Source organism: Homo sapiens (assembly GCF_000001405.40).
Source record: "Homo sapiens chromosome 16 unlocalized genomic scaffold, GRCh38.p14 Primary Assembly HSCHR16_RANDOM_CTG1".
NCBI lineage: Eukaryota > Metazoa > Chordata > Mammalia > Primates > Hominidae > Homo > Homo sapiens.
This window is the reverse complement of record NT_187383.1, coordinates 645,351-672,602: the sequence shown is the minus strand read 5'-3', so window position 1 is coordinate 672,602 and position 27,252 is coordinate 645,351. Positions and strand designations below refer to the sequence as shown.

The window sequence follows — 27,252 nt, the reverse complement described above, 5'->3', positions numbered from 1 at the left end:
TCTTTTAATCAAATTCTACCTAAGTGTTTAAGTAAAACTATTGAAGTGCTCAGTTTTTATTAATTAAGTTTAACATTTTTATTAAAATAAAGTGTATTAAATTTATTAAATGTTAAGTGACTTTAGGCCAGGCATGGTGGCTCATGCCTATAATGCCAGTGCTTTGGGAGGCCACAGCCAGAGTCCACTTGAAGACAGGAGTTCTAGACCATCCTGGGCAATATAGCGAGACCCCGTCTCTATAAACAATTTAAAAATTAGCCCAGCATGGAGGTACACACCTGTAGTTCTACTTGGGAGACTGCGAGAGGATCACTTGAGCCCAGGAGTTCAAGGCTACAGTGAGCTAAGATTATGCCACTACACTCCAGCCTGGGCAACAGAACAAGACCCCATCTCTAAAATACTTAAAAAGTGAAAAAAAAAAAGGTGAGGGAGAACTTAACTTTCTGAAATATATTTATGTGCCAAAATAATTATAAATGTATTTCTCTTTTCTATAGATGAAAGTCCAAAAGATTATTACAAATGTATGGGATATTTTTCAACCACTTCTTTTTGGTTTAGTTGGAGCAGAAGTATCTGTTTCATCGCTTGAATCAAATATTGTTGGTAAGAATAAATAGAGCACAAAAAATATGAAATTCAAAAATATTTAAGAAAATTATAAATGCATTTATTTTTATTTACAATATATCTTTGAATGGCTACAAGGACCTTCTTCAGAAACACATGTTGATACAGTGTCATATTTTCATATTGCTCTTCCTTTACACTGTGTGCTCTTTCTTTTTTAAACCAGGAACAGCCCTGAATATCTTCCCTGAGTTATCTAAGGAAATAAATATAAGATTTCTTTCCTGAGGGAACATATTTGATACGATCAGCACTTTTTGAGTACTTTCATTTAAAACTATTGGCTGGGTATGGTGGCTCATGCCTGTAAACTTAGCACTTTGGGGGGCCGAAGCGGGCACACTTCTTGAAGTTAGGAGTTCAAGACCTGCCTGGCTAACATGGGGAACCCCATCTCTCCTAGAAATACAAAAATTAGCCAGGTGTGGTAGTGCGCGCCTATAATCCCAGCTACTCAGGAGGCTGAGGCAGGAGAATCACGTGAACCCGGGAGTCGGAAGTTGCAGTGAGCTGAGATTGTACCACTGCACTCCAGCCTGGGCGACAGAGCAAGAATCCTTCTCAAAAAGTAAATTATTATTAATAATAATAAAAGTATTCAAAAAAAGTCTATTAGTTCAGAATTGTATAAATGTCATCTGTCTTATTTTTCATGGAACCTCCACCATCAGATACTGTCTTGCACTTTACAGAGAATCCTCCATCATATTCATTTTTTATTATCATTATTTTATGTAAAAATTAAACACATGAAGAGACAATAGCCTTAAAATGCTTTCGAAAGTTTTAGAAATCATATTCCTGGGCATAAAGAACACTTCTTCACAAATATTTTGTTATTTATGTTTGTTTTCATCTGTTGTAGGCATATCTGTTGCCACTCTTGAGTTTGGCATTATGTGTTCGAATTTTAACCACATATCTATTGATGTGCTTTGCTGGTTTTAGTTTTAAGGAGAAAATATTTATTGCTTTAGCATGGATGCCCAAAGCTACAGTACAGGTAAGAACATATTAAGCCTATTGCTTAATGCTTTTGTTTTGATGCTTTTAAAATTTAAAATGAAAAATGTTACTCCAATCACAAAATATGAGCTATTGTCCTTACTTTTTAAATGTTTGATTGATCATAACTATTCATTAAAATTAACGTAACCAGTCCCAGCTACTCAGGAGGCTGAGATGGGAGAATCACTTGAACCCAGGAGGCGGAGGTTGCAGTAAGCTGAGATGGCACCACTGTACTCCAGTCTGGGTGACAGAGCAAGATTCAATCTCAAAAAAATAAATAAATAAACAAAAACAAACAAAGAAACTCAATGTAACCTTTTTCTATTTTTATTTTTATTTTCATTTTGAGACCAGGTCTCACTCTGTCACCCAAACTGTAGTGCAGTGGCATGATCACGGCTCACTGCAGCCTCAACCTCCTGGGCTCAAACAATCCTCTCACATCAGCCTCCTGAGTAGCTAGGATCACAGTCACCTGCCACCATACCCAACTGCTTTTTTTCAGATTTTTTTTTTTTTTTGAGACAGTCTTACTCTGTTGCCCAGGCTGGAGTGCAGTGGCATGATCTCAGCTCAATGCAACCTCCACCTCCCAGGTTCAAGCGATTCTCCTGCCTCAGCCTCCTCAGTAGCTGGGATTACAGGTGCACACCACCACACCCAGCTAATTTTTGTATTTTTAGTAGATATGGGGTCTCATCATGTTGGCCAGGCTAGTCTCAAACTCCTGACCTCAAGTGATCTGCCCACCTCAGCCTCCCAAAGTGCTGGGATTACAGGCATGAGCCACTGCACCTGGCCTTTTCTTTCTGATTTTTTTGTAAAGAGGAGGTCTTGCTATGTTGCCCAGGCTGATCTTGAACTCCTAGGTTCAAGTGATCTTCCTGCCTCAGCCTCCTAAAGTTCTGGGATTACAAGCATAACCCACTGGGCCCAGCCAATGTAACCTTTTGAAATCTCAGTTTTAAAAGCAATTATTTTGAAATCAAAAAGTATTCTTTCAATAAGTACTTCCTAAGTTTATGAAAATATGTTTTTTATTTTCCTAAAATATATAATAAGAATATATCTGAAAATTGGAGTTTTTATATTTTGCTGAATATAACAAAGCTAAATGTTATGATTTTAAAAAGTAGAGACACAGGCCAGGCATGGTGGCTCATGCCTGTAATCCTAGCACTTCGGGAGGCTGAGGCAGGCAGATCACTTGAGCTCAGGAGTTCAAGACCAGCCTGGGCAACATGGTAAAACCCCCGTCTCTACAAAAAATACAAAAAAATTAGTCAGGTGTGGTGGCACGCACCTGTAGTCACAGCTACTTGGGGGCTGAGGAAGGAGGATTGCTTGAACTCAGGAGGTTGAGGCTGCAGTGAGCTGAGGTCACGCCATTTCACTCCAGCTTGGGTGACAAAGTGAGACCCTGTCACAAAAAAAAGTAAAGTAAAATAGAGACACATTGATTTTTTTAAAAAATACTTTTCCTACCTTGCCACTCACTCCATCACACAAATGCACATATATTTTTTTAATTACACATTTATTTGTATACTATTTGGTTAATGGCTAAATCCCTGCCCCCGCCCCCTTGATAGACTACGTAAGGACAGGGACAGTGTCTGGTTGTTGCCGTTGTTTTTCATTATTTCTCCCTGGCACTTAACACAGTGCCTGACATGCAGGAGGCAAATACGTATTGCATGCCTGCAAGGATGAATGAACGGAAAGGGAAACCTTGTAATTTTGCCCTGTTATTCAAGGATATTCTCCTCCTACTAAAATATATTGCTACTTCTTGTTAGACTGTTTAACTTGGCAGCATAATATACCTTAATTTCCTGTGACTCTTTTCTTAGTTGTTATTCCAAAACAGAAGCTCCTAAATTTTCATGCAAAAAAACCTCTATTATCATGTTAGAAAAGCAGGTTCATAGGGCCAGACTACCTGTTTTGAATACCATGTTACTTGCCTATAACCTCAGGAAAATTATTTTCTAGTCTCTCAGTCCTTCAGTGTTCTCATCTTACAATGAAGTCTATGACTGTATCTGTTTCTTAGCAGTGTTGTCAGGATTCAATGAGATAATCCATGTAAAGTGCTTAGCACTCTCTCTGGCATATGGTGGTGCTCAGTTAAAAAACAATGCTGTTATTTTATCTTACCTTCAAGAAATATAAATAATAACTTTTTATTTTTAATGTCTACTCTAGGGAATAATAAATCTGCAAAAGGAGTATCTGTTCTCTCTCCTTCCAACAATACTCTTGCAATTTTGTTTCATTATTTCATAATTTTCATAAAGCAGGGAAAAAAGAAAAGCTGGTATGAGGAAAGAGACCACTCACTCGAGTCCTGCAGTATTATTCTGCTTCTGCCTATTCCTGTCTGCTGGCTCCAGGCTAGCTTCTACAAAAAGAATATCAGGCTGGTTCCAGGAACTGGCAAGACATAAAAAATTAATTATTTATACAAGTAGAGTCACAACAGCAATAATAGATAACAATAATGTCACAAGTAAATACGATCAACAAATATTTAAATTTCAATTTTAAATTATTTTCACCTTTATCCTCTTCCGCCGTTCTCTGCTGCTAAAATAAAATTGGCTAAGGATCATCTTTCTCTTGTTCCTTAGTTTTGAGTTACTGATAAAAATTAGACTGGAAAAATAGAAGCTATTAGGAGAGTAAATAAATAATTTAATTTACAAATGTAAGATCAGCTTGGCAATTGGATTTTTTTAAAGAAATAATATTAAATCTCAGTCACTAGGAGGAAATCATTTATCATCTAATAAAAGTCCTCACATAATAAGGTTGTCATAAGAATTAAATGAATTGATAAATGGAAAGCTTTAAGAATGATACCTGACATATGATGAATGCCATATAACTATAAAAATATTATTTCTAGTTTCACCATTATCGTCATCATCTCTTAAAAGTCAATGGGTTTGGTTTTTGTTTTTGTTTTTTCTGTTGGCAGTTCTTTTATGTTCAAATCCTCTTCTAAACTGTAAGATTCTTTCAAGGTGGTTTTCTGCATGATTATTTTTTTCTCCCTAGCATCCTCCAGCATACTGGATCATGTTCAGTACATTGAAAGTTATGATATAAAAATAATACCATTTTAAATTATTGATTTAGGATATAGAAATTGATCTTAAATTGAGGGGTTCTTTTGCCATAATGTTCCATATCAGAGGTAATGTTTCTACTATTATGTTGTTACTTTGCAACTCCATCGAAAATATGTTATATATTGGTATTTAATTCCCCCAAATTTTAAGGCAATTTCATGCCTAGTTATTAAACACAAGGAAAGAGAGTTAGCAAGAAATTTGCTTTATGTTATTAAAAATAATGTGGTAGAAGGTAACTAGGGAAAAAAACCTGTGACCCAGTAGAGTCATTCTAAAACAAAAACTTCAAAGGAACTCAATCTCTGACCTGGCAGGGGATGAGGAGTGAAGGAGAAAGAAACTTACTACTATCTGAATACCTACTCTGTGCCAGGTATTCTTCACATCCTAATATTTAATTTTCACAACCGTCCAGTAAGATAAGTATTTTGTTCTTCGTTTTACACGTAAGTAAGTAGAAGGTTAGAGAGTGTGAGTCATTTGTACAAGGTCACTAGCCTGGTTGAAGCAAAAATAGAATTCAAACCCAGTTTGCTAGATTCCAAGCCTGCTGTCAGTTCTGCTATAACCCAGTGCCCCCTGAATAAGGACAACAATGAGAAGAAGGGCAACAAATCCTAGAGAACCAGAAGAAAACTTAATATTTTATTTTGTCTTCTTGTAGTCAAAATCCACTGGTACACGATAAAGGCAACTAAGCAAAACCAGTTTCGTTAGAACTCCTGGTGTTATGAGGGCAACACTCAAAAGAGATATTTGAATAGAGGAACACTGAGAGGACAAGAGTGCAAAATCAGCCGAAAAATGTTTGCATGCTGATTTGTCACTATTGTACTCTTCCTCCACATATATTTGCTAGGAAGAACATGGAACTGATGAGTAACTTATGAAAATTACTGAGTACTTTTTTTTTCTAATAGTCTAGTACTAGATTTTGTTTATTTTAACAGAGCCATTTACATTATATATTAACTCAGTTTAATATTTTTCTTTATGCCCCATTTTTACCCCTAAATGTAGGCTGTGTTAGGTCCTCTGGCTCTAGAAACAGCAACAGTCTCCGCACCCCACTTGGAACCATATGCAAAGGATGTGATGACAGTAGCATTTTTAGCCATCTTGATCACAGCTCCAAATGGAGCTCTACTTATGGGCATTCTGGGGCTTAAAATGCTCACACGCCATTATGATCCAAGCAAAATAATACTGCAATTGCCAGCATTAGAACATCATTAAAAAGTTTACCTGTCATCATCTGCCTACTTCTTTTAATGAATTATTTCACATGACAGAAGAATTTTAAAGTAGAAATATGTAGAAAATCCAGGATTTCGGTACAGGGCTTTTCTTGGACTTTTTACTCCAAAGTTAATTTAATAAAAATAATATTAAATGGAATGCTGTCTTGGTATTTACATACTGTAAGAACAAATTAAATCTGTAAATACCCTAGGAAAGTTTAAAGTAATCCCTCAGGCTGAATTTGATATCATAATGCAAACTGAGCTTAATATAAAATTAAACAAACTTAACGGCAGAAAGAAAAACTGAATGTTGAACTTGGTAAGATAGCCTAAGTTTCCAAATAGGAGGAGTAGAACTCCCTATGATATCCAGTAATTCAGTTAAAAAGATCACTACAAAAAGAAAAAAAAGGGAGTAAAACACATCAACTTTAAATGGGTTAACCGAATAGATTTTAAATTCTGGTTTTGTTGACTACCTGAATAAATAATATGTTAAGTAATAGAACCAAGTTAGTCTTTCCTTATTTCTGCCATGCCCTTAAAATGAAAGTCTGGTTTAGCGGTTTTTAGTTGAAACACTATCTATATTTTTATTTATAGAAATAAAATTAAATCACAAATGGAAGTAAACTATATTTTTTTCAATTAGTATTTTAAAATCTAGACATAAAAGGCAGCCTCCAAAAATGAAAGACTTGGAGACTACTGTCATGTGGCAGTTTCTTCTCCTTAGTAATATAAAATTACCTTTTAATTCTGGCTGATTAAATCTGCCATGTTAATGTAGAACCCATCACAAGCAAAGTGAGTTTTAGTTAACTTCAAGACTCTTTATTTTAAAGTTATAAGAGTCATATAAACACTTCTAAAATGGCCTTATTGAATGGCATTTTAGAAATTCTTTAGACTTCTTTGGCAAAAGCTCAATGCAAGGACTGAATATTACTTTCATTCCTCTTTTTCCTCTTCTCACAAGCAAGATATTAAAATACCACAGAATATGAAATTTACACATACATTTGCCAAGTGAAGCAATTAAAATTTAAGGCAATCAAAACTATGTGTTATCCCTATTAAGACTAAGGGCGTTTACAGAATATATCACCGAAACTGCCAAAAGTTCTAAAACCGTCTGGGAAATAACTCTTAGAAAATACACTCTGGGAGAATAACTCTGGGAAAAGATAAAATAGCTACTGTTTTAGTGACATTTTCTCTTTATAGTTTTACAACAAAGTACAGACTCCATTTTCAAATATTGTAATTCTAGTACTCAAATTCTAAAAATTTAAACTGTGCCAGTGTTTTGACTACTATTTAAATCATGAGGACATCTCATTGTCACTTATAAAAAAATAAAAATATAGGCAGGGTGTTGTGGCTCATGCCTGTAATCCCAGCACTTTGGGAGGCCAATGCGGGCAGATCACGAGGTCAGGAGTTCGAGACCAATCTGACCAACATAGTGAAAGCCCGTCTCTACTAAAAATACAAAAAATTTGTCAGATGTGGTGGCATGCACCTGTAATCCCAGCTACTCAGACGGCTGAGGCAGGAGAATCGCTTGAACCCAGGAGGCAGAGGTTGCAGTGAGCTGAGATCACACCACTGCACTCCAGCCTGGGAGACAGAGCAAGACTCTGTCTCAAAAAAAAAAAAATAATAAAATATATGTGTATATATATATATTTACAAGATAGTATTTTACATTCACAAGAGGATTAGATTTCAAAGTAGAAAGTTTATTTTAATAAAAGAGAGATAAGAAATAATTTTCAAAATGAGGAATTGTGTTTTTGATTAGGAGGAAAATTGTTGTACCTTTTCTTTTTATTCTTTATTTATTGAACTTTCTCTAAGTGTCTGTGATATATGTTTATAATACTGAAATAGTCGCCGTTTTAAGGTAGTGTGGCAGATGTTGTTATTTATTTGAAATTTTAAGTTTTTTATTTATAAAAAGTTTTTATAAAAATTTATTAATATAATTTAAAAATTACAACCAGTTAACCATGTGTATGATATTAGTGTTTATAGTATTTAAACAAATAAGGCTGGGCACAGTGGCTCACACCATCCCAGCACTTTGGGAGGCCAAGGCGGGTGGATCAGGAGGTCAGGAGAAGGAGACCATCCTGGCTAACATGGTGAAACTCTGTCTCTACTAAAAATACAAAAAACTAGCCAGGCATGGTGGTAGGTGTCTGTAGTCCCGGCTACTCGGGAGGCTGAGGCAGAAGAATCACTTGAACCTGGGAGGCAGAGGTTGCAGTGAGCCAAGATCACACCACTGCACTCCAGCCTGGGTGACAGAGTGAGACTCCATCTCAAAAAAATAAAATAAAATAAAATAAAATAAAAAACAAATAAATACAAGATTGTTGTTTCTTATAAACTTTTTTTGTATCTTTGCCTATTTTTTTCACTGTTTAAGGAATTTTTATTAAAGCAAAATTTTATAATCCAAATTACCTTTCCTTGCTCAGTTATCAATTCTGTTACTTAAAACAGAAGTGACATTCTTAGCTATTCCACACTAATGAATTACAAAATTAAAGGAATGCTTTAAATTTTTATACTTTGCTGAAAATTATTTATCACAGAGTCTGAAAAGCATTACAGTGTTTCTATATTTTATTATTTTGGGAGGATTTTTTCTTTTCAAATCAATAAGTAATCTAGGACTATCATTGCATTTGTTAGATCTGACATCTGCTTGGTATGTAAAGTTCAAAGTTTCCTTTTTAAATTTATTTTATACTTTACAAATTTTTTCCATAGTATTTAAGGTTTTTGATATTGAGATATTTTTCTTCAGTGATGCTCAAGTTTCTTTCTGTGGTCCCTGATCAGTTTTAAACAATTGGAACACCAGTGGCACCATTAACTGCTTTCTGGGCAGCCTCTTTAGCTTGGTGGTCTTGTAGTACAGCTATACCTTTGTCAACCTTAGTATAGAGAGGCTCTGGAGATTCAAGCATATGAAGGAGTTCCAAATTACCAATCTCCAACAACATACCAATGATTTTACCAGCACGACTAGGGCATGGCTTGAAGAAGAGGAAACAGCCATTCACTCGTTTCCTTTTGCTTTTGAGGAGGAGCAGATGCCATCATGGAAGTCAAAGGTTCTTGACCTTCTACATGAACAGCAGGCTGCTTCAAGGTAACCTGGGGCTGTGCATGAAAATGCCATTGAGGATTGTGAGCTTCCATAGCATATTTATACTGTGAAATGGTACAAAAAGCAGGAGTATCTGTAGTAGCAGTAGCGGCAACTGCAGGATGTGCTCCTATTGTCTGTTTCGATGGGTTACAACAGCTGTGTTGACATGACTCATGGAAGCTATGAAGAAGCTGGTCTCTTACTACTAAATGTAGTGAGCTAGGAGCGGCTTGGGCATATTTTTCAATGGATGAGGTCTGGCACCCTGAGCAATTTAGGGAGGATTTGAACTTAGTTGAGCAGTTTGGCTAGGAGAATACTTTGCAGCATGGCTCTCAGTCTGTGGGATAACTGCCATGAAGTCAATTGAAGAAGGTGCTGGCTGATAGGAACTGATTCCCAGGTTGAGCATAGTTTTTACACTTGCCATTCTTTGCACATACTGCACTGGTTAATGAGCTGAGCCTGGTGCTCTTCATTGCTTTTCTTCCCATGGAGTTAACACTATATACAATGGCTCAGTGCCCTCAATGCTACCATTCATTTCTGAAAGTCCTTTAGTTGCTTCCTCTGGAGAGGAGAAACATACACAAATCAAACCCTTTGTTGTGACAACCATCCTTCATAACCTTTGCATTGGTGATTGTACCAAGTGGAGAAAGTTCTTTCCAGAGACATTCATCAATACCATCAAGATTTTTTGCATAAATGTTAACACTTTGTTATCTGGTGATCCTATACTGCTTGATCTTTTCAAATTTGCACACAAGTTCCATCTGCCATTCTACTTTTTTTCTGAGCTTGACCAACATCAATTTGTTTTCCATTGAGCTTCTTTCTGTTCATCTCATCTGCGCATCTTTATGCCTTTCAAAGCTGACAAATCCAAAACCTTTGGGTTTTCCACTTTCATTAACCACTACTATCACACTTAAGACAGATCCCAACTTGCCAAAGAGATCTTTAAGGCACCTACCATCCATGTCTTCTCCAAAAATCTTCCTGTAAACATTGGTGAACTTTTTAACTCTGAGTTCTGCTTCTCATTGTTTACAAGACTTAATCCAACAAAGACTTTGCTATCATTTAGAAGCATCCATTTCATTTTTGAATAGATCTTTCAGCTGCTTCTGTGTCTCAAAATGTACAATGCCATCACCCTTGAAACTGTTTTCACCACAAAGCACCTAATGTGAAAGTGATAGAGACAGGAGGCAGCCAAGGGTCCTCTGGTAAAACACCACCTTCAAGACTAAAACAGCCTGAAGGCTGATAAACTGGACTGCAGGTCCTGGTTGAAGCCGCCCTTTCCTCACTGATTCTGAATAATGCCCACCTGTGCACTGGGATTACGGGGTGGAGCCTTGGGAAGTTTGTGCGGTGTGCAGTGGAGAGGAGTCTGGCCTGTTCCCATGTAGTGACCTAGGATTTAATCTATGAGGCGGGAAACCTGCTAGCAGGACTCTTTCTCTCTTTGCTGAGAGTTATTTTTGCTTTTTCCTTTCCACCCAATAAACTCCGTTCCCCCTCACCCTTCAAGTGTTTGCGTGCCTTTTCCTGGTGGTATGACAAGAACCTGGTTTTTTCTGCAACAAAAAGATGTTACCAAAAGCAGATATATCATGCAATGCTTTATAATCAATAGATTTGTCCAATTTTTTTATGAACATGTTGCCCACTCCATTTTTGCGGAGTGATGGATCACACCGAGACCACTTAGTGTGTATTGGCTAGTCTTTTATAACATCAAAATTCATGGGGTCTTAACCACATTCCACATCCTGCGTTTCCCAAGGAGCGCCGGTGATCTGGTTCCTGTAGCCCGGGATAGAGAGGACCGGCCAGCAGGCCTGGTCATGTGCGGTGCGAGGACAGGGGATGGCTGGGACGCTGGGCTCACCTCTGCACCTGTCTGCCGGTAGGGCCACAGGCTGCGACCTTTCCGTGAAAGGAGAGTAAGGGCTGGGGCGGAAGCCTGGGCCAGCGCACAAACACAAAATCACCTGGAATCCCAAACTACTCCACGGCCGAGGAACTGCGACCCGCAGAGGGCTGGGACGAGGGTGGCGGTGTAGGGTCCAGCGTCCAGGCCTCGGGATCCTGTTCCTTCTTGAAGCTGCTTCGGAGCTGCGAGGGGGCGGGGGGGTCGCTCTCGGCTGCCTCACCGGGTAATCTTATACAAGAAGAAAAGGAAAATGTCTGTGGCAGTGAAGACAAGGATTTTTTTGTAAAGTGTTTTGCAGGGGTGACCGGTGTTAAAACAGAAACCTTTTTTTTTTTAAGTTTTTTTCATGGGATGTTTTTCGGGGGAATGGATTTTTCAAGATAATAAATATGTGCTGATCCTGGAGAACACACTCCACACTCTCAGCACTAACCGCTTGGGAGAAGGGACCCATTAATGTTTAATTGTACCTTCTCTTGTGGCCCCATTTTTTCCCTTTTAATTATGTAACATTGGAGCCTACAGAAAGGTAGAAAAAATGGGCACCCACATAACCACCACCTAAATCCCATTAATTGTTAATATTTTGTCAAGTTTTCTTTATGTAATTTTTCAATTTGAATTAAAAGTAAATTATAGGCATCATGCTAATTTGCCTCTGTATACTTAAGCCTGCATATTCAAAAACTAAAGCCATTTTCTTGCATAACCACAATTCCCTTATCCTTTCACACCAAGTTATCAGTAATTCCTTAAAATTATTCAACTCCCAAATATTTTCAAATATAAACAGTCATGCCCCATGTAACACATTTCAGTCAACTAGTCGACCATCTACACTGTGGTGGTCTCATAAGATTAAACTGGAACATATATAGAAACTTGATAAACAGTATATGGCCCTTGATATGGCATTGCAGCTCAAGTAGAGGAATGACTGATGCTCAGTAGTGGTGCTGGAACATTTGATTTTCCTTATAAAAAATAAATAAGTGAAAATATATAGGGCCAGATGTAGTGGTTCATGCCTGTAATCCCAGCGCTTTGGGAGGCCAAGGTGGGCAGATCATCTGAGGTCAGGAGTTTGAGACCAGCCTGGCCAACATGGTGAAACCCCGTCTCTACTGAAAATATAATTAGCCTGGTGCAGTGGCAGGTGCCTGTAATCCCAGCTACTCAGGAGGCTGAGGCACGAGAATTGCTTGAACCTGGGAGGCTGAGGTTGCAGTGAGCTGAGATCGCACCAGCACTCCAGCCTGGGTGACACAGTGAGACTCTGTCTCAAAAATATACGTATATACACCATCTAGGTTTGCATAATTACACCCTATGATTCACATTTTCTTAATTTTTTCCCAATTATAGCAATTTTTAAAAGCCAGGATCCAATCGAGAACTGGACACTACATTTTGTTTTTGTCTCTTATTTTGTAATCCAGTAGATTTCTCCATACTTAATCCCTTGCTAAATGGCATAGACTTTTTTTTTTTTTTGAGACGGCATCTTGCTTTGTCACCAGGCTGGAGTGCAGTGGCGTGATCTTGGCTCACTGCAACCTCTGCCTCCTGGGTTCAAGAGATACTCTTGCCTCACCCTCCTGAGTAGCTGGGATTACAGGTGCCTGCCACCACGGCTGGATAATTTTTTGTATTTTTTTTTTTTTTTTGAGACGGAGTCTCGCTCTGTCGCCCAGGCTGGAGTGCAGTGGCGGGATCTCGGCTCACTGCAAGCTCCGCCTCCCGGGTTCACGCCATTCTCCTGCCTCAGCCTCCCAAGTAGCTGGGACTACAGGCGCCCGCCACTACGCCCGGCTAATTTTTTGTATTTTTAGTAGAGACGGGGTTTCACCATGTTAGCCAGGATGGTCTCGATCTCCTGACCTCATGATGCACCCTCCTCAGCCTCCCAAAGTGCTGGGATTACAGGTGCGAGCCACCGTGCCCAGCTGGTATTGACATTTTAAAGGAACCATGCTAGTTGTCACGTAGAATATCTCACATTCTGGATTTGTGGGACTGTTCATGGTTTCATTAAGTTTGTTTGTCTATCCCCTCAATTTTCTGAAGTTTGAAGTTAAATTTAAAGACTTGGTTACATTCAGGTTAAATTTTTTGGCCAGAATCATTCAAAGGTGATGTCGTATACTTCCAATAGTGGCACATTATGAAGTTTATGTCTGGTTGTCCCACTGCCAGTGATGCTAATTTTCATTCCTAAATTAAGGTGGTGATTGCCAGATGTCTATATTGTAATGGTATATTTTCCTCTGTAATTAGCCAGTGATCTCTGAGTTTATACCTTGGTACTACATGAATATTCATTTTTCATCAAATTTCTCAAAATTAGTAGACTTTGTTTTTTAGAGCAATTTTAGGTTTACAGAAACCAATGAGCAGAAAGTACACAGAGTTCCCATGTAACACTACCTTCCTATCCCACTCTCCACCCAATCCCTACCTCTGTACACAATTTACCCTATTATTAACACCATGTATTAATGTGGTATATTGGTTACAATTGATACATATTGATACATTATTATAACTGAAGTCCATAGTTTACATTAGCGTTCACTCTTTGTGTTGTAAAGTTCTGTGAATTTTGACAACTGTATAATGACAGATATCCACCAGTATCATACAGAATAGTTTCATCACCATAAAAATCCTCTGTGTTCCACCTATGTATCCCTCTCTTACTTTCCTCAAATTGCTGGAAACCACTGATGTTTCTACATTATAGTATTGCCTTTTCCAGATAGTCATACACTTAGAACCATGCAATATATAACCTTCTCATGCTGGCTTCTTTTACTTAGCAATATACATTTAAGTCTTCTCCATGTCTTTTCTTAGCTTAATATCTGATTTCTTTTTAGTGCTGTATAATATTCCCTTGTCTGGATGTACCACAGTTTGTGTAGCCATTAACCTACTGAAGGATATCTTGGTTGCTTCCAAGTTTTGGCAGTTATGAATACAACTGTTATAAACAGCCATGTGCAGGTTTTTAAGGTTTTAACAAACTCTCTCTGGCAGTTTCTGTTTTTCCTCACTTTTCAAGCCCATGGGCTATCTCCCAGTGCTGTTCATTTTAATATTCTGCAGAGTACTTAAGCATTACAGAATATAGAAGCTGGAAGATACTTGGCAGTCATTTAGTCCCTCATGTTCTAGATGAGAAAACTGAAGCCCAGATAACTTATTATTTGTGCAGTCCCCCAATCTGAGTGTCAAATCCACCTCTCCCAGTTGTTTTCTGTTCAAATAACCCTGTGAACTTCAGTGAACCTCACTGACCACATCATCATTATTCACCAATAGTTCCCCAATAGATCCACTCTACATTAGCTCATTTCAAATGTTCTTTTCCTTTCACGCACATACCATACAGTACTTAAAATTCTGTTGACAACAATCAATATGAATTCAAATTAAGTTCTTGCCCCAAGGATGTGACTTCTACTACACAGTTTCTTTTGGCCTGAGGGCAATTCCTAGGGCATGAACTTAGTCATATGCCCTCAACAGACAGCACTCTAAGGAAGCTGGGGAATGAGGGTCTCCATTCTGCAGGGAGGCCTGGACTACACACCACAGAAGACACTACTCTGTCCATCCCTCATGTCATTTGGATCCATGACTTCATATAACTTCTTTCCATCTAGGAATAGCTCCTCCAGGATTTTGGTTGGTTTCTTTTGCTGGGGAAACGTGAAAGTAACATTCATGGAGGGAAAAATAGCTCCTTGGCTCTTCAACTGGTCTTTCACCCTAAACTGATCATCTGCCTTTCCTACTATACAGGTACTATCAGGTTTACATTCTTACCCTCAGCTAGCACCTCCACTGGTCTAGGTCACTTACCTGGTGATAGGAGAGGGGGGTGTAGTAGCCATGGCTACTAGACTTGTCTTTTTAAATTGAGCAATCAAAATTTAGTAAGGGACTACTTAAACATCCCTTGGCTGCCAAACACATTCCTGTCTACTTCCGTTGTGTAACAGCATTGAATTGCAGAGATAAGAAGCAGAAATTTCCCAAGTGAATTCCTGGGGGTGACGGTAAATAGTGCTACTCTTTCTTCAATCCATGGTCCTCTTTCTATTAGCGACATGGGACCATATAATGGTTACTGATCTAGGATATATGCTTGTATCCCATCCCTGCAGCTTCAAAGGGCTACTGGAGTCTGTTCCATCACTCCATCAGTTTGACAGCTTCTAGTTGTTGTGATTTCGTGATTTGTATTAGGATCACTGAAATGCATTTTCATGTGTCCACCACTGCAACTGCAGTGCTACAAAGTACATTCCCTTTATACAGTGCTATAAAGTACAATGCAAGGATGTGTAGGATTCCATATTGGAGGATTAAACATTCTGTCAACCCTTGGATAGTGGTGCTGGTTGAGGCCATGTAAGTAGGAAAGATAAATCCATACTCAGAATAAGTATCAGTTCCAGCCAAGATGAATCATTACCCTTCCTGTGATGGAAAGAATCCAGTGCATTCAGCTTGCCACCATGTGGCTACTTGGTGTCCTTGAGGGATGATGCTATCTTGAGGCCTCAGTGTTGCTCTGTCTTGATGACAACTTTGACATTCAGAAGCAGCAGTAGCTAGATAAGACTTAGTCAGTGGAGACTTCTGCTGTTTGGGCCTCTGCATAACCTCCATCCTTGTCACTATATTTATTCACCAATTGTGCCAGTACTGAGCTGGCCAATGGAAGAGGTTGGCTAACATCATCTGGCTGAGTCACTTTTCTCCTTGGTTGTTGATAGATACCTCTTGTAGGTGTTAACATGTGAAACAAAGATCTTCATACTTTTTGTACATCCCCATAAGTCCACCTATATGTCCTTTTCTCAGATGTCTTTTTCTCCAGTCTTCCAAATTTTCTCCTTCCATCCCCCTGACCTGTAGCCAAGCCATTTGACCATGAGTCAGTACATTCTTACTTTGAGTCTCTTCTCTTTCCATGCAAAGTGAATGACAAGGTGCGTAGTGCAAAGTTCTGCCTACTGAATTTTTTTTTTTAATTTTTTTTATTTTTTGAGACAGAGTCTTGCACTGTCACCAGGCTGGAGTACAGTGGCGTGATCTCAGCTCACTATAAGCTCTGCCTCCTGGGATCATGCCATTCTCCTGCCTCAGCCTCCCAAGTAGCTGGGACTACAGGTGCCCGCCACCATGCCCAGCTAATTTTTTTTGTATTTTTTTAGTAGAGATGGGTTTTCACCATGTTAGCCAGAATGGTCTCGATCTCCTGACCTCATGATCCACCACCTTGGCCTCCCAAAGTGCTGAGATTACAGGTGTGAGCCACTGTGCCTGGCCAAGAATTTATTTTTGAGTTGAATTTTTAAATATTAAAAAATTTTAAATATACAAACAAAAATTGTATATATTTGTAGTGTACAACCTGATGTTTTGAAATATGGATACACTGTGAAATGGCTAACTCAAGCTAATTAATACATGTGTTACCTCACATACTTATCATTTCTTTTGTGGTGAAAGCACTTAAAATCTACTGTCCTACCAATTTTCAAGTATGCAATACATTGTTATTAACTGTAGTCACCATGTTGTACAATAGGTCTCTTGAACTTGTTCTTCCTGCTTATCTTAATTTTTGTATCCTTTGACCAACATCTCCCCAGTTCTACCTTCCTTCCCCTCCCCTAATAACCATTATTCTCTTTTCTGCTTCTATGTGTTTGACTTTTTTAGATTCCACATATAAGCGAGATTACATGGCATTTATCTCTCTGTGCCTGGCTTATTTCACTTAATATAATGTCCTCCAGTTTCATCCATGTTATTACAAAAGACAGGATTTCCTTCTTTAAGGCTGAACAATATTTCATTATGTATATACACACCACATTTTCTTTAATCATTCATCTGTTAAAGGATACTTAGGTTGATTTCATATCTTGTCTATTGTGAATAATGTTGCAATGAACATGAGGTACAGATTTTTCTTTGACATATTGAATCATTTTCTTTGGGTATATAAATAGTACTAGGATTGCTGGATCATATGGTAGTTTTATTTTTAACTTTCTGAGAAACCTCTATATTATTTTTCATAATAGCTGTACTAATTTACATTCCTGCCAACAGTATACAAAGGCTCCCTTTTCTCCACATCCTCGCCAACACATGTTATCTTTTGTCTTTTTCATAGTAGCCATTCTAAAAGGGATGTCTCATTGTGGTTTTGATTTGCGTTTCTCTGATGACTGGTGATGTTGGTTATTTTTTCATATTCCCGTTGGCCATTTGTATGTCTTCTGTGGAAAAATGTTTATTCAGGTACTTTGCCTCCCTTTCATTAATCAGGTTATATGTTTTCATGCTATTGAGTTGTATGAATACTTTATATATTCTGGATATTAATCCTTTATCAGATGTATGGCTTGCAAATATTTTCTCCCTTTTTGTAGGCTATCTCTTTACTCTATTGATTGCTCCCTTTGCTTGCACAGCTTTTTAGTTTGATATAATCCCACTTGTCTATTTTTGCTTTTGTTGCCTGTGCTTTGGGGGTCATATCCAGAAAATCATTGCCCAGACCAGTCTCATGGAGCTTTTCCTGAATGTTTTCTTCTAGTAGATTTATGGTTTCAGGTTTTATATTTAAGTCTTTAGTCCATTTGTGTTTTTTTTTTGTATATGGTATGAGATAAGGGTCTAATTTCATTTCTCTGCATGTGGAGTTCTCCCAACACCATTTATTGAAAAGATTGTCCTTTCCCCATTGTGTATTCTTGGCATATTTACTGAAAATCAATTGGCCTTAAACGTGGATGTATTTTGAGGCTCTCTATTCTATTCCATTGGTCTACCAGTCTGTTCGTATGCCAGTATCATGTTATATTTTTGATTACTATAGCATCATAGTATATTTTGAAACTGGATAATGTGATGCCTCCTACTTTGTTCTTTTCGCTCACAATTTGCTATTTGGAGTTTTTTTGTGGTTTCACATGAATTTGGGGACTTTTTTCTGTTTACATAAAAAATATCATTGGAATTTTGATGGAGATTACATTGAATCTGTAGATCACTTTGGGTACTAAGAACATTTTAACAGCATGAATTCTTCTAATCCAGGAAGATGGGATATATTTCCATTTATTTGTGTCTTCTTCAATTTCTTTCACCAATGTTTTATAGTTTTCAGTGTACAAGTCTTTCACCTCCTTCGTTAAATTAATTCCTAAGTATTTGTGTAGCCATTATAAATGAAATTGCTTTCTTGATTTCTTTTTCAGATAGTTCATTGTTAGTGTATACAGATGCTACTCATTTTTTTATGTTGATTTTGCATCCTGCAACTTTACTGAATTAATTTACTAGTTCCAACAGTTTTTTTTTGGTGGACTCTTTAGGGTTTTCTACATTTAAGATCATGTTGTCTGCAGAGACAATTTCACTTCTTCCTTTCTGACTTTAATGCCTTTATTTCTTCTTCTTGACTAATTGCTAGAACTTGAATAGAAGTGGTGAAAATGGGCATCCATCTTGTTTCTGATCTTAGAGAAAAAGCTTTCAACTTTTTACCATTGAGTATGATGTTAGCTGTGGGCCTATCATATATGCCTTTATTGTGTTATATGGACATTGATACCTAATTTGTTGAAAGTTTTTATTACAGAAAGATGTTGAATTTTGTCAAATGCTTTCTCTGCATCCATGGAGATATTCATATAGTTTTTGTCCTTCATTCTGTTAATGTGTATATCACATTTATTGATTCGTATATGTTGAACCGTCCTTGGGAGGATTTAATCTACTGCTATCTTTCCATAGCTGAAGTAGGTTGCTATCATTTTTTACTTACATCCGCATCCTGAGTTGATCTTCCAATGAACAAGCTTAGCTTTTTTCCTCCTTTAGCAATATTGGAACTCCCACATAGGCAGAGTTGCCAGCTGAGGGAGAGAATCTATTGTCACAATTTGGATAATGTGGGGACCTGGATCACCTGATCATACTGCTTACTTGTGTCCTCTAGTCTTTCTCATGCCCAATCCTTGATGTGATATGGTTTGGCTCTGTGTCCCTACAAAATCTCATCTCAAATTATAATCCCCACATGTAGAGAGAGGGACCTGGTGGGAGGTGACTGGATCATGGGGACAATTTCCCTCATGCTGTTCTCATGATATTGAGTTCTCATGAGAGTGGATAGTTTAAAAGTGTTTGGCACATCCCCCCTTGCTCTCTGTCTCTCCTGCTGCCTTCTGAAGAAGGTGCTTGCTTCACCTTTGCCTTTAGTCATAAGTGTAAGTTTCCTGAGACCTCTCCAGCCATACGGAACTGTGAGTCAATAAACCTCTTTTGTTTATTAATTACCCAGGCTTGGGTAGTTCTTTATAGCAATGTGAAAATGGACTAATTCAATGTGCTACTTCTATTTTATTATGATTTGTTGCTGGGCCAGCCTGTCCTTATGATCTGGTAGATCTAACAAAACCAAACTCATGGTGGGAACTTTTAGCCACATGGTCACTTAATATTTGTTGTCAGATAATCCATCTCTACCTAGGTGCAGTAGCATGCTAGGAGCTATTAAAGTACACAATTATGCTATATATTTATACAATATACAATTACTTGCAGAGAGAATGACCATGCCAGTGAACCCCACAAGACTATGTGTGAATCGTCTATTAGGGTTTGCTATAAACTCTACATGGTGCTTTTTCCAACTGCATATACTTCTAATACCATAGAGCCTACTAGAGTGTATGGCTCAAACAGTAGGGCTGCTTGCCCTGTATCCTGGACCTGCTGCAGAGGCCTTTTCTGCCCTAAGCTTTTGTCAAAGGTGGAAGCCTTCTGTGTCACTCAGCAAATGTGTCAGAACAGTATTCCTTAGTATAGGGGGACCAATGGGCCCCCTAAAATCTTCTGTGACTGATGTCACAGGTCCTTAAATCTTCAGATGATTTTCTCTCTCAGGGATGCATGTGTCTCACTAGGCCATCCAACATGCTATTTCTTACCCAGTCTATTTTAACTGGTAAATAAAATGGACAAATGTAACATGCTACAGAATGTCCAGACAGCTCACGTCTCTGGACTACATTAGGACAGAGAGTCAAAGAACTAATATACATCTTGGACAAGTCTCTAAATGCATGCTGTTGTCTTTCCCATGAATGTGAATTGCTTCTGGTAAATTTCACTCTAAGTACTGCTTCAGTTATTTTACATATATAATGATTGGTAATCTTTTCATTTTAATTCAATTTTAAGCATGTTCTAATTTTTGTTATAATTTCTTCTTGCTTCCATGAATCATTTGGAAGCTGTTTGTAGTTTCTAAAATTCATGGATTACTTTTGGATAAGTTTTTGTTATTGATTTCTAATAGTGCTATTACACATTTGTTATACCAATGTAAACATTTGATACTACCTTTAGGCCTAATATCTGGTCAATTTTTGTAAATACTCCAAGTGTGCTTGAAAAGAATAGAAATTCTTTAACTGTTGATTAGCCTTACTAATTTTACGTTTATTTATTCAATTACTAAAAATGAAATGTTAAAATCTCTCACTGTGTAGATTTTTTTATTGCTTTTTCCAATTCTAATTTTGGCTTTATTTATTTTGAGACTACATTATTAGGTATCCACAATTTTATAAAAATTAAGAAAAAATTAGAAAAGTTTAGAAAAAAATTAGAAAAATATAGAAAATGATGTGACAGAAGCACACATGGGCTTTATCTGGATGATCTCTTGTCAGGTTTGTATCCTGGGGAAGGCCTTCACAGCAAGAGATGGACCAGAGGTTTGAGACAAGGGGGCCACCACTCAGAAGGGGAGGAGGGCAAAGGAACTCCTGAGGGAGGAAAGTATCAGAGAGGAGGCTTTCATGTCTCAGTGATATCACTCAGCAGCATGGCATGGAGTCTGTAGTTCACAGAGTTCCAAAGAGCAGAAGCAGCTTGGGGTCTTTACAGCCTAGAGTTTATCTGTGGCAAGCAGATTTTGGACGTAGTTTCCCAGGGCATGTAAATCAGGCAGGCTCTAAATGCCTACAGATCTGCATGTCTGGGCTATGTTTAACACAATTGGATGTTTAAAAATTTGAGTTTGGTGCCAGTTGGTTTTTGAGCTAATGGGTTTCAGCTTGCTGTGAAGAAATAACCTAGGCGCCAATACACAGAGGCCATCCTTGTCTCATTTACATTATATGCAGTGACTCTATCCTTTTTTGCTCACAATTGTTTTATTCATTTCTTTTAGATTTGTTTACTTTACTGAGATTATTTGGTAGGTAAGATTTCAGTTTATTGTAGTTTGCTAATTCATTATTCAAAGTGTTCTAATAAAAATTTTGCTCCATCCTTAATCCCCATTTAAACAAAGCTGCTGTGGGTAAGGTCATCAATGGCCTTCGTGTTATCAAATCCATTTTGTTAACAAAATTTTAATGTTTAAAATTTTCTTATGTGTACACATGTTTAATTTATGTAATTTCAAAACGGGGTATCATACATGGAATTTGGTAGTTTTCTTTCCTTTTTTTGTTCACTTACTCTGTTTTTTAATGCTTTACTGTAACCCACAATGCAATGTCCCCAATATTTATTATGTATAACTGATATTCACATAAAACATATTTTGTCATTAAGTGTTATCTTTTTCCACATAGGTGTTCCTGTCTTTAGTCTTCTATTTTCTCTCTCTCCCGCTTCTCTCCCACCCTTCCTCTCTCCATTTATGTACATATTTAAATCATTTTAAAAATCATTTTATGTATCAGTTCAAAGCCTTCAGTGTAAATTGAGGGTCCAATTTTGTTTTCTTTGAATTGTTTATTTTCATATATTAATTTTTCATCTACATGTAGATTCTCAATTTTTTACTACTCTTGCTTATTCTTAATTAATACAATTGTTTTTCTTAATTGATCAATTCCAATAGTTCTATAGTAGGTGCTGATATCTGGTGAGAAAAGTTCCTCTCAATAGTCTTTTTTTGGGTAAAATGTCCTGACTATTCTTCTACATGAACTTTAAGATAATTTAATCCAATTTTAAAATGCTTTTGTGATTCTAATGTGAATTTAATTGAATTTATATATAATTTTAGGAGATTTATGTTTTTACAAGAGTTTTGTTTGTTTTTTTGAGACAGGGTCTCACTTTGTCACCCAGGCAGGAGTGCAGTTGTGGTATCTCAGCTCACTGAAGCCCCAAACTCCCACCTCAGCCTCCCAAGTACCTGGTTCTATAAGCATGCGCCAAGCCCAAATAGTTTTTTGTTTTGTTTTGTTTTGTTTAGATATAGCGTTTCACAATTTGCCGAAGCTGGTCTTGAACTCCTGGGCTCAAGCAGTCCTCCTGCCTCAGCCTCCCAAAGTGCTGGGATTACAGGTATGAGCCACTGCACCTAGCCCCATGTGTTTCTTATTTAATAGCTTTTGTTAACATTTTTATAGTTTTTTTCTTGTAGATCTTCTTTCTTGGTAAATTTATTTTACCTTTATTATTTTTGTTATTGTGAATATTTTTACCATTAGCATTTCAAGGTGCTTATTGCTAATGTATTTTGTATTATGATCTTATTTCCAAATACCTTACCAATATTCCTCTTTAAAATATTTGAAAGTTCTGTTTTTCCTAATCTCTATGATTTGCTAGGCATATAATCATATCCACAAAAAGTTTTCTCTATATTTATACTGATTATTTCATTTAAAAATCTTGTTACATTCATGGATCCTCCAAGATAATCTTTAATAACAAATAATGACAGCAGCTATTCCTACTGGTTCCTTGTTTTAATTGAAATGTTCCTTTATGATTTAAAATACTTATTTTGTAGGCATTTCATAAATAACGGCTATGTTTAGACACTTTCTTTCAATTTCTATTTTACTCAAGAATCTTCATTAGGAGTGGATGTTTAATCTTAACAATAGCCCTCTCAGCATCTATTGATATAATCACATTTTCCTCTTCTTTGATGTCAATTATGTAATTGTGTTAATATACTTAACTGATATTGAAATACCCATGAATTCCTGAAATACAATGCTCTTTGCATACTGTATTACTCTTTTTTGTTGTTGCAATTATTGATAACAGTGCTGGGTTTTTATTTAGAATATTCATTCACATGTATAAGTCAGATTGGTCTATAGTTTTGGTTTTTTTGTTTGTTTTTATTTTTGTTTTGAGATGGAGACTTGCTCTGTCACCCAGGCTGGAGTGCAGTGGCGTGATCTTGGCTCACTGCAACCTCTGCCTCCTGGGTTCAAGCTGGGATTACAGACATACACCACCATGCTGGGCTAATTTTTGGATTTTTAGTAGAGACGGGGTTTCACCATATTGTTCAGGCTGGTCTTGAACTCCTGATCTTAAGTGATCCACCTGCCTTGGCTTCCCAAAGTGCTGGGATTACAGGTGTAAGCCATGGCACCTGGCCTATAGTTTTGTCTTATGTTTATCAGGTTTTCATATTAATGCTGCACTGCCTATGTGAAATGAATTGGTTTTTCTTTTTTAAAAAAATTTGGGATACTTTAAATAACATTGGAATTATCCTTCTTGCAACCCTAGTACTTTTTAAATTATGGATTTAAAAAATCATTTTACATTATCTTCTTTGTAACTGGTCTACTAACATTTTTAATTTCTTCTTGGATTAGTTTTGGTCATTTATATTTTTCCAGAAAATTACCCATTTTCTCTAGATTTTCCAATGTGTGGTCATATAGTTGCATGCAGCATTTCAAAGTGAATCTTTCTTTTTTCTTTTCTTTTTTTTTTTTTTTTTTTTTGAGATGGAGTCTTGCTCTCTGGCCCAGGCTGGAATGCAATGGCATGACCTTGGCACACTGCAACCTCTGCCTCCTGGATTCAAGTGATTCTTCCACCTCAGCCTCCCGAGTAGCTGGGATTACAGACATCCACTATCATGCCCAGTTAATTTTTGTATTTTTGTAGAGCGAGTTGTCACAATGTTGGCCAGGCTGGTCTTGAACTCCTGACCTTAGGCAATCTGCCCACCTTGGCCTCTCAAAGTGCTGGAATTAATTACAGGTGTGAGCCACCGCACCTGGTCCTCAAAGAGAATCTTTCTACCTTCATCTTATTTTACTTCTTGGTAGCATTCTACAGAGTTGAAGATTGTACTTGTGAGTTTTGAGTTTCTTGATTTGTTGAATGGATGTGATTAATTTATATCTTTAGTGTGATCATGCAGAGAAATGTATGAGAGATAGTGATGGAAAATTACAGGAAATCTGAAAATTTAATAAATTGTTGGCATTTTTATTTTCTCACTAGTACAGGGTTCATCTCAGTAATTATGAAATGTACTACCCTTTTCTCCTTTTCTATCTTATTTTGGAAAATTACAGCCTTATAATAGAGATCAGAAATGTGTTAACATTATGGCTGATCTATCTGACAACAGTGTTCTAAGAAAACAGTATCACAAATATACTTTCTCACCATAATTGTTCAAAACAGAAATTTTGTAAGCAAAGAATCAAGCATTTAAACCAAAGGAAAGTTAGAGTGATGTCATCTCTGGTTGAAAAACACAGTCTTTCTGAACAGATTTTCAATGTCCTTCAAGACCATAACTAATATAAAATTACAGAATACGTTTGCTAATAATATGAACTGTACACTTTTTATATGAAAATGATGCTTGCTACAACATGACTTAACTAAACTGGATTTCTGCAAAAGATAAAACACCAGGCATGGTTGCTCACACCTGCAATCCCAGCACTTTGGGAGTGCTGAGGCAGGGAGGATCACTTGAGTCCAGGACTTCGAGACCAGCCTGGGTAACATAGTGAGACTCTGTCTCTTAGGAAAGTAAAAAAATAGCCGGGCATGATGAAGCATGACTGTAGTCTCAGCTACTTGGGAGGCTGAGGTGGGAGGATCACTTCAGCACAAGAGGCTGAGGCTGTGGTGAGGTACGATTACGCCCCCGCACTCCAGCCTGGATGACAGGGCCAGACTTTGTCTCAAAATATATGAAAGTAGATAAAATTAGTTTACTTGCTGAACATAATCAAATATAGCAACTTTCCAGTAAAAGACTATTAGGACAAACTATGTTAACACAACCTCAGATGATGCAGCATAGTTAAAACAAAACAAAACAGCTTTGGGCATATTCTATACTCCAACCTCTGTGGTGCAAAGGGACTATATGGCCAACTAGGTGTTGAGGCGGTCACAGAACTGCTGCACATGTGGTTTTTAAACAAGATTTTTAATTCCCCCTAAAGTGGAAGAAGTCATCTAACAAAATTTATTATGACTTAAATTGCTACTTCTTTATTTAGTTTTTCTCAAACTTTAACAAAATAAATTATGTAGTAAATTATAGTCATTAAGCTTGAAAAATGTTTCAATTGAATGGGAAAACTTCCTGTGATAAAGCCTCCAATCGTCAAGGAATAAGTCAATATATTTTACCCATAAATTTTCCAACATGTTAAGCACTAAGCTTTTAACTAAATAGCTAAGGTGAAATTGTTGCCACTGAATGCAACACATATACTGCCTTTTTAAATAACACCTACTACTTATCTTGATTCCAATTCATCACTAAACATCACTTGTATAATTTGATCACAGTGATGTCCTCAGAGACGGTTGTATGCAGAATCCTATAAATTGTCTCAAGCTGCTATGTTTTTAATGTTCACCTTAAGTTTATTTTTGTTCCCATGCCTTGCTGTCAGCTGTCACATTTTATAGTTCACCCCTTCTGCAAGACCCTTTCGATACTTGTGATTTGTTAGGAAGCAGAAATCAGATAACCTAACTTGTTAGAATTCTATGTGAAGTAAGAATAAGTAGACTCTGGGTAGCTGCTGCCTCTACCATTAAAATTCTTTAAAAAGGAAGACTTTTCAGTTACCACTTAATTTGAACTTGACTTACCTAGACTACTATTAGTTGATATTAGTTTAACAGAGGGAAAATTGTTAATAAAGTAGATCTAATATGTAAACACATATATTATTCCCTTGTTCTGGATCTATCAATGATTTCATACTTTGACTATATCTAAATTATCTGCTTTTCCTGGCCTTCAAAGTGGTCTTTAATTCAGCCCTGCTTTCCATGGGTTAAATTTCCTACAATGCTGAGATGTTTATATTGGTTTCCTCCTGTCCTATGAAATTTGTACTGATTTCTGCCCCAATAAATTTGATTAGATGAAGAAAAAAATACTTTTTTTTTTTTAAGATAGGGTTTCACTCCTGTTGCCCAGGCTGGAGTGCAGTGGCACAATCTTGGCTCACTGCAACCTTGGCCTCCTCAACTCAAGAGATTCTTGTGCCTCAGCCTCCCGAGTAACTGGGACTACGGGTGCGCCATTGGTGCCCGGTTAATTTTTGTATTTTTTTGTAGAGATGAGATCTCACCATGTTGCCCAGGCTGGTATGGAACTCCTGAGATCAAGTACTCCACCCACCTCAGCCTCCCAAAGTGCTGAGATTACAGGTGTGTAGTCACTGCACCAAGCCAATGAGGCAATCACTTCTGAATAAAGTACAAGCATTAGTAACATCTCCCCTGGTCTCTCCAGATTGGTTATGCTGCCACAACTGAATTCTAAATGGGTTAAGTGTTATACAATTAGTTAAGTTTCTTTGGTAGGTATCAAATAAAACATCCACCTAAATTCTTAAGAACCTTGTTAAATAGTGCAATTTACAAACTCTTTATACAGATTCTGATAGCACATTTCTATTGGAAGACTATGGAATCACAATGAGGAAGGTAGTACTATATAGATCAGCAGCTGGCTTAATTGGCTTCCTGTAACTTATTAACAAATTAGGTTACAAAATACAAAGGCAACTTAATGAATCATCATATTTGGCATTGAACTCAAAGCTGAATTGTGTGAATTGTGAGATGCTTTCCATAATTCAACTTGCTTAATTACCCATATGAATTAATCATTCATACCTCAAGCCTGCTAACACTTTTGGATACCTGATGTTTATGTAATGGTGGTGCTCATTTGCTGAGTAAGGCATGAGTAGTTTCCTAGGTAAGCAGAAGTAGCCGTCAAAACAATCA

The 27,252-nt window shown here is 37.3% G+C and overlaps 1 pseudogene; it reads left to right on the top strand.

Annotated features, from left to right (window-relative positions):
- The first annotated feature begins 503 nt into the window (after window positions 1-503).
- The window catches only part of LOC102723945 (sodium/hydrogen exchanger 9B1-like), a 278,678-nt pseudogene continuing 251,929 nt past the window's right edge, over window positions 504-27,252 (top strand).